The 17619-nt window shown below is 48.3% G+C and overlaps 2 protein-coding genes across 3 annotated transcripts in view; one reads left to right on the forward strand and one right to left on the reverse strand.

Annotated features, from left to right (window-relative positions):
* KRT86 (keratin 86) overlaps positions 1-17619 on the forward strand; it is a 34519-nt gene that overhangs the window by 9298 nt on the left and 7602 nt on the right. The gene's annotated exons all lie outside the window — the stretch shown is intronic.
* Positions 1971-7592, reverse strand: KRT81 (keratin 81). The gene is made up of 9 exons (NM_002281.4): positions 7155-7592; positions 6136-6344; positions 5273-5333; positions 4419-4514; positions 4042-4206; positions 3654-3779; positions 3160-3380; positions 2849-2880; positions 1971-2551 (listed from the first exon to the last, which is right to left on the reverse strand). The coding sequence occupies exons 1-9, from the start codon at positions 7521-7523 to the stop codon at positions 2313-2315; spliced, it is 1518 nt and encodes a 505-aa protein (NP_002272.2). The 5' UTR covers positions 7524-7592; the 3' UTR covers positions 1971-2312.

Consider the following 17619-nt stretch of genomic DNA (forward strand, 5'->3'; position numbering starts at 1 on the left):
AATGGGAACCTAGAGGGAGGTGAGGATTGTGGGGCCGGAGTAGGAAGGAAGAGAGGGTCAGAGCTAGAGGGAGAGTGAGGGAGTGAAATACGGCAGGTCACTAAGGCCCAGCTAGGCTGAAGTTGGAATAGGTGAGAAGTCCATCAGGACTGGAGTTGTAGTTGGCTTCTGAACTAGGGAGGGATGGAGCTGGTGCTTGAGTCTCAGGTCTGGACTCCTGACAGGGGCTGCTGCTGCTGCTGCTGCTTCTTGTTTTTTTATTTTTTTGAAACAGGGTCTTGCTGTGTCGCCCACGCTGGAGGCAGTGGCACAAACATGGCTCACTGTGCGGCTTCAACTTCCTGGGCTCAAGCTGTCCTGCTTCGGCCCCCTAAGTAGCTGGGACTATAGGTGCACACCACGTCGCCCAGCTAATATTTTTATATTTTATAGAGATAGAGTCTCACTGTATTGTCTGGGCTGATCTCTAACTCTGGGGCTCAAGCGATCTTTTCACCTTGGCCTCCTAAAGTGTTGAGATTATAGGTGTGAGCCACTGCACCTGGCCTAGGGCCAGCTTCTGAGCTGTGTGATGTCACAGCATACAGGGCTGGTTGGAATGATTGATCACAAATTCTGGAACTTTCTAGGATTGTGTCCCTCTCAGAATTCCATCAGGGGTGGCTGAGAGACCTTGGTTTGATTCTAGCTTTTACAGGAGAATTTGTTCTTTTCAGTCCACTCACTTCTGGTCTCTTAATATTCTTAATAATTTCTAGTGCCCAGAAGGGTAGGGGTGGGGGACTCCCATTTCTGCTGTATTTTCTGGGCCTTGGACTGGAAGTTTAGAGATTCACTCCGGCTTAAAGATGTATGTTCAGGGAGTCACCTTGGCCCATAGTGGGGCTGAGCTGTCATCTTCCCCTTCCCCTACCTCGTCAGTGTCAAGTTAATACTTCCATGCATGAAGGAGCTGAATGGCCCTGGTAACCACGGAGGTTTCTCTCTGTACTTGCAATCTCTGATCACAGATATCAATGTAATAAGAGGTTGGCCATAAGAGGCCCTGATCCCTAGAGGGACTTCTACTTTACATTCTGCAAAAGAATAACACTAATGATAAAAAATAGAGTGATAATTTTGTGGCATGCACCATCTAAACCTTTTACGTATATGAAATCCTTTAACTCATCAACTTATGAGGTGGTTGCCCTTTCTATCATCCTCATTTTGGAGGTGTGGAAACAGGCACAGAGAGGGTAAATACATTGCCCAACCCACTCACCTAGGAAGGACCAGGGCCCAGCTTGGGGCCCAGGCAGTCTGGCTGGAGTCCGTGTCCCCCCTCTATGCCACATCATCTTGCTATGTGCTGTTTTCTGTCTTTGAGGAAAATGTATCAGCTGTGGCAGGTCTCCAAAACCCCAGAGTGATGCCATTTAAAAAAAAAAAAAAGAAAGCCAACATCAAAGGCTTTTTGAAACTTTAAATCATATTCATGTATTCACCTCTTAAAGAATTCCAATAAATTACTCAGGCATGAGTCTTCCCTACCAAAGCAATGGGTGATGTTGCCTCAAGCTTTGAGTGATTGGTGAATCTGATTTTCATGATCCATCAGTTTGCAGATATGCATGAGATGTTTTCTGAGAGACAGCTGCAGTTTAGTGAAATGAGCACTAGCGACACACACAGGGCTTAAACCCCAGATGAACCACCCAACTAAGTGGGTGACCCTGCCCCAATTATTGAGTGCCTCTGAGTTCTGGCTTCTTCATCTGCAAGGTGTATCATTAGGGTTGTGTGGATAAAGTTACATCAAATAGGGGCCTAGCACAACTCTTGGCTAAATCTGAACCTTCTATGAGGCGGGGGATAGAAAACTGTACTGGAGACCCTTGGCTTGGCCTTTTGCTGCTCCATGTGACTTTGGGGACCCTCCCTAACCCCGACCCCTGAGGAGGGTAATAGAGACACACACAAGACCCAGGTTGGCTACATTAATTTATTGAAACACAGATCAAGAGCAGAGGAGGAAGGGGAGAGGCAGGAAGGCAGTTGCCGTGGGCAAGGTTCTGGTCCTGGCCCTTCCTGCTCCTGAGGCCCCTTCCTATGGGTGCCAGCGGACTTCTTTCTAGGGTGGCCTTTCCCACTGTGGGGTGGCAGAGCCCAGAAGTGGGGGATCACACAGAGAAATGTGAGGCCAGGAGTGGGAGGGGTCTTTCAAAGTGCAGGAGAAGTAGCTGAGCACTTGCTCCAGGCGCCTGGACTGGATGGGCCAAGCAAGGCAGGGCAGGAAAGATGCCTGGGGCCTGGGACTTGAGTTGGGGTGCCTAACATTTCCGGCAGCTGCTGCCGCAAGACCCCACACCCAGGGAGCTGATACCACAGGAGCCCACGCCGCAGGAACCCCCTCCGCAGGTGGTGTTCAATTGGCCGCAGGGCGCACACAGGCCGGTGCTCACCGCCACGTTCCCGTTGCACGGAGCGCTGCAGACACTGCCAGTCACTGGCCGGGAGCCTGACACGCAGAGGTCCCCGCACACGACCCCGCCCCGGGAGCTGCTGACACCTGTGAACCCCGAAGGCTGAGTCAAAATTCTGAAGGGCAAGCCATCCTGCCTTCCTGACAACCGCCCCTGCCCAAGACCTGAGCTCTGGTATGAAAAGTCAGAAGCATCTTTGTGGACAATTCTAGGTCCATCTAGTCCAAGAGCTGGGGTCTTTTGGATGTCTGACCCCAAATCCCTCCTGTTGTGATGCCAGCCCACTCTTTTATATTCAATCTCAGTAACACTCCTTTTTCCAAACTCTGCCCTCCATCACAGGTAGTTAGTAAATCTGTCCACACTGGACCCCAAATACTCACAGACATTCACAGCCCCAATGCCTTCACATAGCCTGAGGGCAAAAGAGAAAAAGGCAACATTAGTGACTGCCCCAGAGTGGCTGAAAAAGCTCCCCAGTTCATAGGGTAGGGTCCACAACTGGTCAATTAAGAACAGAGTCTGAGGGAACAGCTTGCCTCAGACAAACTCACACACCAGCCCTCCCCACACCGGAAGTGAATAATAATATTTTTTTCCCCCAGAGCCCTGGCCATTGCTCAGCCAAGGCCAAGGGTAGGCTTGTGCCAGGGATGGGGAAGGGTGGTTCTGGGCCACCCTTGGTTGGACCCACCTCTGCTCCTCGCCCTCCAGCAGGCGCCTGTAGGTGGCGATCTCGATGTCCAGGCCCAGCTTGGAGTTCATCACCTCCTGGTACTCCCTGATCAGGCAGGCCATGTCCTGCTTGGCCTTCTGCAGGGCGCCCTCCAGCTCGGCCAGCTTGCAGCGGGCATCACTGAGGGCCGCCTCACCCTGCTGCTCAGACTGGGCCACCGCGGCCTCCAGCTTGGAGTTCTGAAGAGAACAGAAAGAACAAGGTAGATTAGAGTCCCTGGGTCTCTCTGATGCTCATCCAAATGAGACCACACTCCCCACCAAGCTGGGAGCACCCCAGAACAGAGCCTCTTGCCTTTATCACCTGGGACTCATTGAGAGACCACGACCAGGGACTCTACATGGACAAAGGGGGTGGAGAATGAATGCTGAGATCCAGGTAGGGCACACATAGGCTGTGTGACAATGGTTAGGCCCTCGGTCTCTCTGACCTTGCGCACAGATGCCCCATACCTGGCACTTGGCATTCTCCACCTCGGCCGTCAGCCTTTGGATCATGCGGTTCAGCTCATTGATCTCCTCCTTGGTGCGGCGCAGGGTCTCCCCGTGCCTGATCACCGTGGCCTTCATCTCCTCACACTGGGGGAAGTAGAGATGCTCATGAGGTTCAGGGTGGGACCTCCCATCCATTCAGGACACCACAGATGATTTTGCAGGTTGTACAGTGCTCAGCCTGTGCAGCCACACATGGCAGTCCTGCCCTGCCACCCCAACCTCAGATTGGCAGCCCTCTCTTCTCATCCCTAGGGACCAGCATCCCCAGAAAAGGAAGCCTATTTAATAGATATCTCACATCCCTCCCACTGACACGTCTAGCAGGCAGGTGTCCTGTGCCACTCACCTTGCTGCGGTACCAGGACTCGGCCTCGGCCCGGCTGCGGGTGACAATGTCGTCATACTGTGCCTTAATCTCGGCAATGATGCAGTCCATGTTCAGGTCCCGGCTGTTGTCCAGCTTGACAACCACGGAGGTGTCTGAGATGTGCGACTGGAGAATGAGGATCTCCTGCAGGAGGTGAGGGCAGTGACTTTAGTTGAGAATACAGCCCCACCCACCATGTCCTGACTCCACCTCCTCAGGCTTTCTCTGGTCCCCAACCCTGCCCCCTCACACAGCCTCAGGGACTGCAACCTCTACCCACATCCTGTCCAACACTCCCACCCCCAACTCTCCTCTCTGCTGGCTGCCAGGTTTCTGTCTGGCCCCTGAGCCCGCACCTCCTCATACAGCCGCCTCAGGAAGTCGATCTCCTGGATCAGGGCCTCCACGTTGGCCTCCAGGTCTGACTTGCGGAGGTAGGCGCAGTCCACATCCTGGAAAGGTGGGGAGTGTTGGAGCTCAAGGACCCTGGTGATCCAGCCCCCAGACTCCTCTCTCTGCCCATCCATTCCATGTAGCCAGGGGAAAGCAGTCCCTGGTGTCCCATTCCCATGCCTTTCCTCCCCTTCTGCCCTTCCTGGGATGAGCTGGCATCCTCTGTCCCTCTGATGACAAACCCTGTTTGCCTTGACCATGCCTCACCAGCCTTTCACCCCTCCTTGCCCTCCTGTCTCTCCCTTCTCTCATCTCCTGCTCCAGGAAGCCTGCCCAGACTGACCCCCCAGCTCTCACACCCTGACCCTTTCCTGTCCCCCACAAGTGCTCCAAGAGCCCAGTGGCTGCTCCTGGTTCTTCTCCATCCCCCCTTAGACCCTGGGATTGTGTCTCTGCCTCAAGGTCAGACTCCCCAAAATGCTAGACAGACTGCACTGTCTCTCAGCAGAGACATTGTATCTGCTATGGCTCCAGGGGCCTCAGCAATAGACCACAACCTCTGGAACAGAGCAGGACACACAGAGGACAGTGCAGCCATCCCCTTGCCCAAGGTAGGTGCTGGTAGATATTCCCAAGTCATTGCCCTTTGTCAAGGCCCTGGATGCTCAATACAAAGGCCTGCATCTGGGCAGTCCTAGCCTGCTGTGGAAAGGTCATTGTGCCCCACGCTGAGGTTGAGACCCCCTGTGTGTCCCCAGGAAGAATCTGTCATTCTGAGATCCCACAGATCTGTGCTTCTCAATCCTGTGTCACTTGCCTTCTTCAGAGCCACAAACTCGTTCTCAGCTGTTGCTCTCAGAGAAACCTCCTCCTCATACCTGAGACAGAGCAGAGGGAAGAGAGGGGAGGTCAGGGCAGGGCAGGTCTCTGCAGAGCCACCATCACATCACACTTCATCACAGCCATGGGGACAGTACTAGAAACACCTCCACACAGCCCCGGCCTGGCAGCCTAGCTTAGTGCTTTCTAGTTGGATGTGGGATGTGTCTGGGATTCTCTATCCACTTTGAACTGGGGATGGAGAGTGCTCATCTGGGACCTCCCAGTCCTGTTCCCAAAGGGGCTCTGAGGTCCCCCAGGAGGCAAATAGGACTCAGCCCCCAGCCCCATCCTGGGAGTGGACAGCGTGGACTCTCAGGGCCTGTAGCCCTAGCCTCCCCTCACTGGTATCAATCCCAGCTCAGGTATGGGGCCTCCTGGACCCGCAGACCCTCAGGACTTAGAACCTAAGGCAGTGGGACACCCAGAGCCCAAGACCTGTCACTCATGAGAGACCCTGGGCTCACATCTGACAGGTGCTACAAGTATAGGGGCTGAGGGTCAGGAGAGAAGGCCTGGACCCTGCAGAGGCTTCCTCCCCACCCAGCGCAGGGGAGAGCTGCTGGGTGATGTGGTTCAGGGAGAGAAGGCTGAAGTGGGACAGAGACAGGTCATGGGAGTCACAGCCCTCCTCTTACACAGGTGTCTGGGCAAAGATTCCACAAAGGAAAAGACCCCGCCACCCTCGGTCAATCTAGTGGTCATGGCCACTCACCCTACCTGGGAGTTCTTATTGTCTAATCCAGTGTATTTAACCTAAACCCCATTCCTGTGCCCAGCATCCCTCTTGCCCGCACTCACTTCTTCTTGTAGCCCTCCAGCACCTCCTGCACGTGGTTAAGCTCTGAGGCCAGCCTCCCGCTGTCGGCCTCCACGCACTCGGCCTCCCGCCGCAGAGTCTCGATGTAGCCCTCAAACAGGGGCTCCAGGTTGCTCTGGCAACACTCGCGGTTCTGGTAGAACTGCAGCTTTGTCTCCAGCAGTTTGTTCTGCTGCTCCAGGAAGCGCACCTGCCATTCGGTGTGGGAAGGTGGGGCAGATGGTGTCTGGTGCCCCAAAGCCAGCTCTGGGGGCTCGCAGGGGAGGTGCTTTAATGGGAACCCCCAAATCTGGAGCTTATCTGAGATTGAGTAGAGGTGGGCAGTGGGAGACAGACAATTTCTGGATTTCCTGGTCATGATCTGTGTCTAGATTTCCCACTCAGGAGTGGAGCAAGGGCTGGGTGGTGTCAGTGCCTGCTCCCTGGGGAGTTGAGTGACCCCCCCCCCCCAACCCAAGCAGATGAACAGAAGTGGAGGCTCAGTCCCTCACTATGAAACTAGGTGATCAGCAACCCACACAGGCAGAGTACTCAGGTTCAGATCACAGATGAGGTTTCTGGGGATGGTGCCAGGAAGAGGGTGTCACAGGCCATCTGGAAGGGAGCTCAGCTGTCCCAGCCCTTCCCCTGTGTCATCTGGAAGTCAGTGCACCCTACTCTCTCACCCTGGGGCTGCCCAAACCCCTCTGAGTTCAGCAGCAGTGGTCACATGCCCCCCTCCCCCAACTCCCTGATGTCTAGCTTGTGCCCCAGAGCAGCCTGGCCACACTTTTCCTTCACAAGCTCCCTCTATCTGAACTGTCAGCTGAGTCTGCATCTTGAGTGCCTGTGTGTGTGTGTCTGTGCATGTGTCTGTCTGTCTGTGTGTCTGTGTGCCTCGCCCATCAGACTGGGATCTCAGGCAGGCAGAGGTCTTTGTGCCTCTGACTCCATCCTTAGTGCCCGGCCCTGGCTGTGTAGGTGGTGGGGGTTCAGGAAGGGTGTGATCCAGGACACCCACCTTGTCGATGAAGGCCGCGAACCTGCTGTTGAGGGACTTGATCTGCTCCTTCTCCTCCTGCTTCACGCACTGCGCGTTGGGGTCGATCTCCAGGTTGAGGGGCGTGAGGAGGCTCTCGTTGACCGACACGGTGGTGATGCATGGGGGACTGGGCCCGCACACGCCCCCGGAGCGGTAGCCGAAGCTGCGTCCGCAGGAGCCGGCCCGAAAGCCTCCGCACACGCTGTGGCTGCCGAAGCCCCCGGTGAGGCCGCGGTAGCAGGAGATGCCACGGTAGGGGGCGGCGGTGATGCAGCAGCGGCCGGGCCGCGGCCCGCAGGCCGAGATGCAGCTGAAGGCGCGCCCACCAAATCCTGATCCGCAGGTCATGATCCTCCTGGACGTTTGGGTTGCAGAGGACAGGATAGGGGACCTGGAGTCCTGATGGAAACTCCAATGTGCTCCTCAGGGCACCGCAGCCCTATTTATGCGCAGATTCTGAAGGGGCTTGGCTGTGAAGATGATGTTGGGGCAATTTGCGCTTTATGGGCTTGGGTGGTTAGCCGGGTCTAACGCCTCTCCAGAATGTGCTTTAATGGGGGAGTGGCCTGCACCCTCTTCTTTGTAAAAGATGTCAGTCTTGGGCTCTGGGGGAGTCAGCATGTTTCATCTTCAAAGTGTCTTGCCAGCAGGGCATTCCTTCATCTGCAGGCATTGGGGAGGGAAGGGGAAGGCAGAGGAGAGGACGAGAAGGAGGAGTAGAGCCTGGCGAGGGGAAGAGAAGGGAGGCCAGGTGCTGGGAGAAACTGGGAGGAGGAGACCTGTGTGTTAAGTGTGATGTGGGGAGAGGGGTTTCAGGAAAGGCTGAGGCATTAATAAATACCATCTCTCATTTCCATCACAGCTGTGGCTAAAGTGCTCCTGAAACACAAATCTGGATTTCCCCATCTCCAGATTTTTCAGTTGGCAGCTGAAAACCATCTCACTTTTCCTACCATGGGAACAGTCAGCAGATTATTAAATATTTGTCTTTTATCTTTTTTATGATGAAAGCTTTCAAATATTGAGGAAAATTGGAATAATACAACACACATGCATTGATGCTCCACCTGTTTACCCCGATTCAACAGTTAACATTATACCATATTTGCTTTCACAGTTGCCCAATTATTTGAGTGGCAGAAAGCATGGCATGTCACCCTTAAATACATCAGCAGGAATTTCTTAAGAATAAGGAGAGTACTATTTTCTTATTCAGGAAAATTAACAATAATTCCAAAGCACCACTTACTATTCATCTCAGATTCAATTTTCCTAACTGTCCTAAGGATTTTAAAACTACATTTTACATAATTTAATTTGTGGCTCTAGCCCTTGTATTTTCTATAAATTAGAAAGTAAATCTTGAGCTGGGATGTCCAATTTGGTAGACAATAGGCAGATGTGGCTACTTAAATTTAAGTTAGTAAAAACTAAATAAGTTAAAAATCTAGTTATTCAGTTGCACTATCCACATTTTGAGTCCTCAGCAGCTACCTGTAAGTAGTGCCTACCTTATTAGACAGTGCATATAAAGAACACTTCTTTATTATTTATTTTTATTTTATTTATTGTTTATTTTCACATAAAATTCTGTTGGACAGCACTGGGCTAGAGGCTGGATTAGGTTTAAATTAAACATTGTTGGGACAGAATACTTCATAAAATATGCTGTGTAACTCTTATTATATCACCCCAGGAAGCATAAAATGTCAGATTGGTGATGCTAAATTGAATCACAGCTGGGCGCAGTGGCTCATACCTGTAATCCCAGCACTTTGGGAGTCTGAGGGGGGTGGATCACCTGAGGTCAGGAGTTCAAGACCAGCCTCAGTGGAGGAGTTTAAGACCAGAGATGGTGAAACCCCGTCTCTACTACAAATACAAAAATTAGCCCGTTATGGTGGCACGTGCCTGTATTCCCAGCTACATGGGAGGCTAAGGCAGGAGAATTGCTTGAACCCAGGAGATGGAGGTTGGATCACTTCAGTACATTTCCCCCTGTATTAGGAAAAACTGTATAGAGAATTAGAATTAGAAAGAACTGTGTAGAGAAACATGGATCTTAGTTTGATAAGAATATGTTTCTTTTTAATTGGTCACCTACTATGTGATCATCATTATATATCGTAAATGATCTCTAATTCTCACATCAATCATATGAAGTATGTGCCATTATCCCCATTTTACTGATGAGGAAACCAAGGGTCAGGGAGGTTAAATAACTTGCCCGAAGTCTCCCAGCTGGTAAGTGATGGAGCCAGGAGTTGCATTGCCTTCTCACTTATAAGCTGTGACAACCCCTTGACTTCCTAATCTTTGGATAAGTTCAAGAGGGTAGTGAAAGTTGTTTACAGGGGAGTATCTGTGAATTTAGGGTGTGAGAGAGTCCATCTAAGGAAGACGGGCAGAGTCAGAGTGGATTGGGATGGTTAGAACCATGAGGGGTCATTTAGGGACACACGGCGATGTGAGGCTACTTGGGGGCTGGGAAGGAGTATGAGTTAGATGTGCAGCACCCCGTGGCTAAGAATTGAAGGACGGGGTGGAAAACATCAGTTTTAGTTATTTGCATACCTCTGGTATATGGCAATACTTTGATAGACTGTACTATGTTCTACTTACCCAGTGAACCACCCCCCACTCCAATAGAGCAGGTCCTAGAAAAATTAGCTCGTAAAGTACAGAGGTTTGCATTAAATTGAGGAGAAGAAAAGAGAAGTGAAATGGCCTGGCTTATAGCCCCCTGGAGCTGCTATGCTTCAAGGGCAAAGGCAGGCAGAGTAGACTTAGGGAATGAGAACAGAAGCAGGATTGATGGGAAAAGAGAGGAGAGGAAAAAAATAGAAGAGAATAGGGCTCTCAGGGTATCTGTGCAAAACATTCAGAGTGTGGCCTTGTGCAGGACAAATGTGGGAGGTCACAGACTGTGTTGAGCTATCTGGTCACCCCAGAGAAGAGTATGGCACCTGCTGTCCCTTTGTGAGTTCAGGGCTGCTGGGCCAGCACTTCTGAAGCTCTTTGTACCCTCATCTGGAATTTGGGGCACTGCTCACAATTGAGCAGTGATGTCCCCAGTAAACCAGCGGTTGGGTGTCCTGAGGAGCACTGTGAGTCAAAGTACATCTCATCCACACTTCACCTTTTCTACCAGTATAACTCCTTATAAAAACAACATGTATAAACACAAGCTAATTACTAATGGCTGGTCCTTACTAAGCAATTTTAAAGATGTAAGAATATGAAAAATTCAAATGTGACACCATTTCATTAAACTTCAGGAATTAATTGCTGCTAATTTTTGAAGACCTAAAAGGACATTCAACTTGTTTTCTTCAGAGTGAAAAAACCTTGTCATGGGGAAGGGAGGAGGGGAGGGAAGGTGGCAGGGAGGAGGGGAGGGAAGATGGCAGAATCTCCACTCTATGGTCTTGGCTCTGGCAAGGTAAAGAGGATAGATTTTAACTTTGTGGAGATAACAATTATTTTTATTGTGAAATATTTCAACACAAAAAATGCATAGGTGGTTAGATCTGTAGCAATACCTACCACTTATAGGAAAAAATAGAACATGTGTGTATTTCAGGAGCTTCCTATGTACCTTGTTCTGATTGTACCCTACTCCTTCCTGGCCTAGGGTGACTCCTCTCTTGCATTTTGTGTTTAATTATTCCTTTGCTTTTCTTACAGTTTTAGAACCAATGCACCCATCTTGCAATGACATATTGTTTCTTTTTCCAGCTTTTGAACTTCACATAAATGGACTCATGTTGCATGGATCCTTGTGCATCTGGTTTCTTTCATTAAATGTTGCTTCCTGTAGCTGTCCTGTGTTCATTTTCACTGTGGATTGCACTCATTGCATGGCTATACCACAGTTTATTTGCCTTTCTACCTCGATAGCCACAAGGTTGTTTCCAGAGTTCTGTAGATTGAACAGAGCTGCTATGAACATCCTTTCTCATGTCTTCTGGTGCATTTATGCAAGAGTTTTTCTGGGGTATGTGGCTATTTTTTTTAAAGTTATGTCAGTAGTAGATGTTTCATGTAGAAAGCTATTTTATGACTATTCTTCCAAACTTAATAATAAAATCTTTTGATGTTCATCTTATACCACACTAGATACTATTTTAAGAGTCCAACATGCATTAACTCATTTAATTTTTACAGTTGCCCTCTGAGGTTGGTGTTATTATTCTCGTTTTATAGATGAGGACACTGAGGTCTAGGGAGGTTAAGGCTCAGGTTGCATGTTAGTAGCAGAACTGGAACCCAGAGCCTGTGTGTCTGATCCCAAAGGAAGGGATGCGTTTGTCCCATTGCACTCCCTTCTGTACACCATCGGCCATCAGTAATAAGTATCACACAGTAGCTGGTGTTTGTACATAACATAAAAACACAAACACTCATCTTGCCCCATGCCCTCTGCAGGGCCCTGCAGGTTGCTCTCAGGGTTCAGGGCCAGAGAGTATAGGAGAGCTCACCCTTGTTCTTGGCAAGCTTCCAGTATTAAGAGAAAAGCAGAGACACATACCCAGATAATGAACAAAAATGGAAACCCTGCAGCACATCAGTGTGTACAAATGTTTTCTTCGTGGATATATTCCAAGGGCTTGTCACATAGTAGGTGCTCAATAAATATTTTTTGAATGAATGAAAAGAATACCAGCTGCATATTAAGTGCTGAGTAATGGAGCCATCAAAGCTTGGTGGTTTATTGTGCAAAGCTTTGTGGTAGGATAGGGTGGGGACACATGAAGCAGATGATGTGGCTATTCCTGGGGGTGGGGGTGGAGAGGGGTGACCTTCCTTGCTGGGGCCTGAAGGATGAATGAAGTGAGTGAGATGTGTCCTTCAACCAAGCAAAGTCCTTGGCTTGGGCTATAAGGGGGTGGTGGGGAAAGTCAGCCAATGAGAACAAGGATCTTGAAGGCCTTGGGGCAGAGTAGAGACCAGGTGTCGGATTGGAGAAGGAAAGAGAGAAGCAAATCAGAGGAGATTTCTAGGAAAAGAGGGAGAAAGAAATACTTGGTCTTAGACTATTATTCTCAGGGTGACTTAGAAGAAGAGAAGGAGAGTGCTGCATGGGTGGAGAAGAAAATGAGGGAGAGATCTTAGGAGATAGTCAGGAAGAGGAGGAAACTGGAGGACAGTGGAGGAAAAATGGGAGAAGATCTGGGAAGTATGGTGGAAGGGTCACTCCAGGGATGAAAGAGCAGAGGAGGAGGAGGTGGATGGGGGAAGCAGCACAGCACCAAGGGAAAGTGTGTGTAGGCCCACTGGAAGAGGTGGGCACTGTAGTTCCAGATTTATAGTAATGAACCCTCACAGGGCAGGGACATGGGGCGAGGGAGGTGCAGGCACCCAGCTGGTTAGTGGGATGAATGTTACCAGGGTGGAGCTTTTGAGTCAGGCTCCAGCCCCACCCAGGCATCTTACAGGGGCCTTCTGGCCCTTTGTCCAGTGGGACTCCTCTCTGGTGAGTTCTGATGGATAATTGGCCAGCGTCCTGGGCTCTCTTGGCTGAGAAGGCAGGGCTCTGACTTGGGCTCTCCCCAATCACCCACCCAACTGGCCTGAGGTCAATTCCATTATCAACATCTCAACATCCCAGGTGTTGTGTAAGCAGCCACTCCACTACCTCTCAACTTCCTTCACTGGACCCTGGCCTGCACCTGCTTTCTATGAGTAGAAAGCATGAGCCAGCTGCAAGGTTAGTAAGGGCATGGCCCTCTGGAGACCTGTAAGCCCAGCATGCAGATGCTCCAGATGTAGAGCCTACAGGCTGCCTTCCAGCCCACAGCTGTGTAGCAGAGTCTCAGGGACGACACTGTCCCTGCTTATGAGGGCTGTGCCTCAACCGGCATTCTCCCTCTCTCTCCGCTGTCACAGTATCTCATGATCCTCTCCACTCCTGCAAGGGCCCACAGGATCACCTGTTGTCCACCCACTAGCCCTGTCTCATTGTCTGTCACTGTGTGAAATGCTTCCATGCACATCTTCTCATCAACACTGTCCTGCCCGCCTTTTGCCTAAAGCTTGTCCTCACCCTTTCCAGGGAGCCTTTCTTGCCTTTCCCATCAGACTAGCTGCAATTGCACATTGTCCCAGAAAGGACACTGTCAGCAGTCATTGCATGCCTCAGTATCTGACAGTATGTATGAAAAGTAGCCCTCTTTAGACTTCTGGCCTTTCTCATGAATTTGGATATGCTCTACCAGACTGGGAGCTCCAGAACCCATGTTTCCTTCCTCCTCTTAATGCCTCCTTCCCTCCAAAATTAAGACAGGATTGAGCATAGAGCTAGGAAATATCAGTCACAAAATCCCCGAGTCCCCCATCTGGAAAATGTTGTCTAGTCTAAGCGATCAACTATCTTGAGGAGTCTGCCTTATAATACCCTCCAGGGAGCAGAATGAACCGAAGGGAGCACTGAACAAGAACTTTCTAATGTTAAAACCACCTAATTTGCCCATTCTTTACAAGTGCCCCTTGAAATAAAGGTCCACTTGGGCTAAAAGAAGAGATTCTGATCTCCAGATCTGAAGGTCTTTTGGTTCACCTTGTCTCCACAAAAATGGTGGCCACTGCAGAATAAGAAGTGTCTTTCTTTTACTTAAAGCCTCCCTAAATGGAAGAGATAATGCAAGCTCCTTTAGAAAGTAATGACTACTTGTCTTCTGGCAAGTTCTTCCTCAACTCCAACTTCCATTTGTCCATCTGCAATGAAAGCTTGCCTTCTCTTGCTCTCATTGGAGCACCATTATACTTGGATGAATTATCAAGTCCATATCCCCCATCCTCAACCTCATGAAATCCTCTGGCTACTGACCAATCAGGAGGTTTTAGGATCAGGCAAAAATAAAGATGAGTGAGTGTGCCATCATTTAATTTATGACTGAGGATTTCTGATGGTCTGTTAAGTCCAAATAATAAATACACACTTATGAATTATTCACAGATTACAGAATTTTTAGATTATCCAAGCCTCTCTTCTCATCCAGTAGTATGGTTACCCAAGGATTGGTGGTGTGTTCCTTTGCCAAAGAGAAGAGATTCTCTTTGGACCTTCTCTGAGGCAATCAGGCTGGAGCAGAGATTGAAGGAGGGGCATGTGTTTTGGGGTTCTTTTCGAGGACAAATGGAGTAACCATGGCCAAACTTCTCAGATCCTCTGCCCCTTGGACTGGCTCCCACTGTAGAATATAGTAGATAACATTTATTGAGCATTTTCTATGTGCCAGCTGCTGTTAAACATTGTCCATGCATTATTTCATTTAATCCTTCTACAAGTTCTTTAAGATAAGGCGGTTAATGAAAACTGGACACAGATGGCTTAGGCATGTGGATGAGTATATCCCATCAATGCTGTTGATACGTCTGCAGCAGCAGCATCAGCAGCAACAACAACAACAACTAATATGATTACACACTTAGAGTGTGCCAGGCTTAGTTCTCAGTGATTTACATGGATTAACTCTTTTAATCTTTACAACTTTATGAGGTGGGTACTATTATTATCTTCATTTTAGAAATCATGAAATGAGGTACATAGAGGCTAAGTAATTGCCTGAGTTTACACAGCTAGAGAGTGGCAGAGCTAGAATTCGAAACGAGGCAGTTTGGAATCTGAGTCTGTGTGCTTAACTAATATGCCATGTATTCAAACTTTTTATTTATTTATTTATTTATTTTAATGTTTTCTTTTTATGGGTACATAATAGTTATACATGTTTATGGGCTACATAAGATATTTTGAGATAAGCATAAACTGTGTACTGATCAAATCAGAGTACTTGGAATATCCATCACCTCAAACATTTATTATTTCTTTGTGTTGGGATCATTCCAAGCCTACTCCTTTAGTTATTTTGAAATACACAATAAATGATTAACTATAGTCATTCTATTGTGCTACTGAACACTAGATCTCATTTCTGTTATCTAACTGTATTTTTGTACTCATTAACACGTCTTTATCTTCCCCTCCCCATTACCCTTCCCAGCCTCTGGTAACCATCATTCTACTCTCTATCTGATGAGATCAATTTTTTTAGCTCTCGCATATGTGTAAGAACATCTGAAATTTGTCTTTCTGTACCTCAATTATTTTCCCTAACATAATGTCCTCCAGTTCCATCCATGTTGTTGCAAATGACAGGATTTCATTCCTTTTTATGGCTGAATAATATTCCATTGTGTATCTGTAACATACTTTCTTTATTCATCCATTGATGGACACTTAGTTTGATTCCAAATCTTGGCTATTGTGAATAGCGCTGCAATAAACGTGGGAGTGCAGACATCTCTTTGATATAAGAATTTTCTTTCTTTTGGATGTATACCTAGTAGTGGGATTGCTGGATCACCTGGTGGTTCTATTTTTAGCTTTTGGAGGACACTCCATACTGTTTTCCATAGTGGCTGTAGTAACTTACATCCCACTAGCAGTGTACAAGTGTTCCCCTTTCTCCACATCCTTGCCAGCATCCATAATTTTTTTGTCTTTTTGATAAAAGTCATTTTAATTGGGTTGAGATGATAATCTTATTGTGGTATTGATTTGTATTTCTTTGATGATATGTTGAGCATTTTCAATATACCTGTTGGTCATGTATATGTCTTCTTTTGAGAAATGTCTATTCAGATCTTTTGCCCATTTTAAAATCAGATTATTTGGTTTACTTGCTATTGAGTTGTTTGAGTTCCTTATATATTGCAGCTACGAATTCCTTGTCAGTTGAATAGTTTGCAAATATTTCTTCCATTCTGTAGGTCATTTCTTCAACTTGTTGATTGTTTCCTTTGGTGTGCAGAAGTTCTTTTAGCTCGATGTGATCCCATTTGCCCATTTTTTGCTTTGGTTGCCTTTGGTTTTGAGGTCTCAATCAAGAAATCTTTGTCCAGGTCAATGCCCTAAGCATTTCCTCAATGTTTTCTTCTAGTAGTTTCATAGTCTGAGGTCTTATATTTAAGTCTTTAATCCATTTTAATTTGGTTTTTGTATACAGTGAGAAATAGATATTTCAACTTTTCTGCTGCAACTATAATAAGAAATAATTTTACATGGTGACTGAGTATGCACATACATATACATAGGCCATACAACTGAAACAAAAAGGGCATGTAACAAGTTATTCCCATGACATAAGGTGCAATCTGCTATTTTCTGGTCTATTCTACTCTATTTGATTTTCTCATAATCAATTTCATTAAAATAAAATTCTGGTTGGTTCAATTAGTGGGTCAGAACATGAATTCTGAATAAACACTGCCCCTGAGCCCACCGCTTCCTAATGATTGTAATGAAGCCCATCTGCTCTGTGCTCTGGAGTCCACTGAGCATGTACACATTTCTGTAACTCTAAGGCAGTAGTAGGAGGGAAAGCCTTAACCTATTTCCCAGGAGAGTCAAGTGCCTTCCCCTAGATCACACAGGGGTACTCAGGGCAGAGCCTTGGTTCCTACCCAGCCTTTGTGAGTTTAAGACCCACACTATTCACACTGGATGGATGGCACATACAAATATAGATCTGTTCTCTGGCACCTGCCAAGGGTACTGACAAACTTCTGTGCAGGAGTTTCAAGGAGTATAGTGCAGAAAGCAGCAGGGACTCAGGGGATGATGGCAGGGGCTGGATGCTCTCCTCATGTGGCTCTATTTGATCTCATATTCTGAGCCAGATACTGTATAGATGCATAACAGTGGTGCTCATCCCAGACCTTCTAGGCCCTGGAGGTTACACAGAGGCCTGAGAGGACATCCAGACATTCAATCCTTGTCTAGGGCCTTGTGGGAGGTAATTGTGCTTTCCTGGGGCCAGTGGGCTAGTGTGTGCTCCTGAGGCCGCATGGGACACTCTGAGGGAGGGAATGCCTCCTCTCAGCCGAGGCTGGCCAATATGACCTAATAAGGTGGCCTGAGGACTAGTCTACATGCTAGTTGAATGTGCAGGTGAGGACCTGTGAGTGTGTGTGTGTGTGTGAGATGGTGGGTAGAAAGGCCAGCATGTGAAAGCATTGTGTGTGTGAGTGTGTATGTGAAAGAGAGAGGGGGGGTTGTGAGTAGGAAGGCCAGCATGTGAGTGCATTGTGTGTGAGTTTGTGTGTGTATGTGTGTGTGCACCAGAGAGTGGGAGAGAGAGAGAGAAAAAAACATGTTGATAGGTATAGATAAGGGATTTGGGAGTAGGTGTGGAGGAACTGGGTCCCTGAGAAGGTGACTAAGTTAGAGATTCTGTAAACGTGGGTCTTTTGGGGTGCAGAAACAGGTCATCTAGTTCGGAGAAACCACCAAGCGCCCCCCAAGTTCCACATCAAGGGATTCCCCCTCCCAACATTCCTGGCTAGTCCTATGAGCACCGCGGACAGCGGCATTGACCATGTCAAACCCCGCAGGACAGAAAGAGCAGCAGCCCCGCCCCTTCCCTTCCATTCCAACCTGAGT

The sequence above is a fragment of the Homo sapiens genome, chromosome 12 (genome assembly GCF_000001405.40).
Source record: "Homo sapiens chromosome 12, GRCh38.p14 Primary Assembly".
NCBI classification, from domain to species: domain Eukaryota; kingdom Metazoa; phylum Chordata; class Mammalia; order Primates; family Hominidae; genus Homo; species Homo sapiens.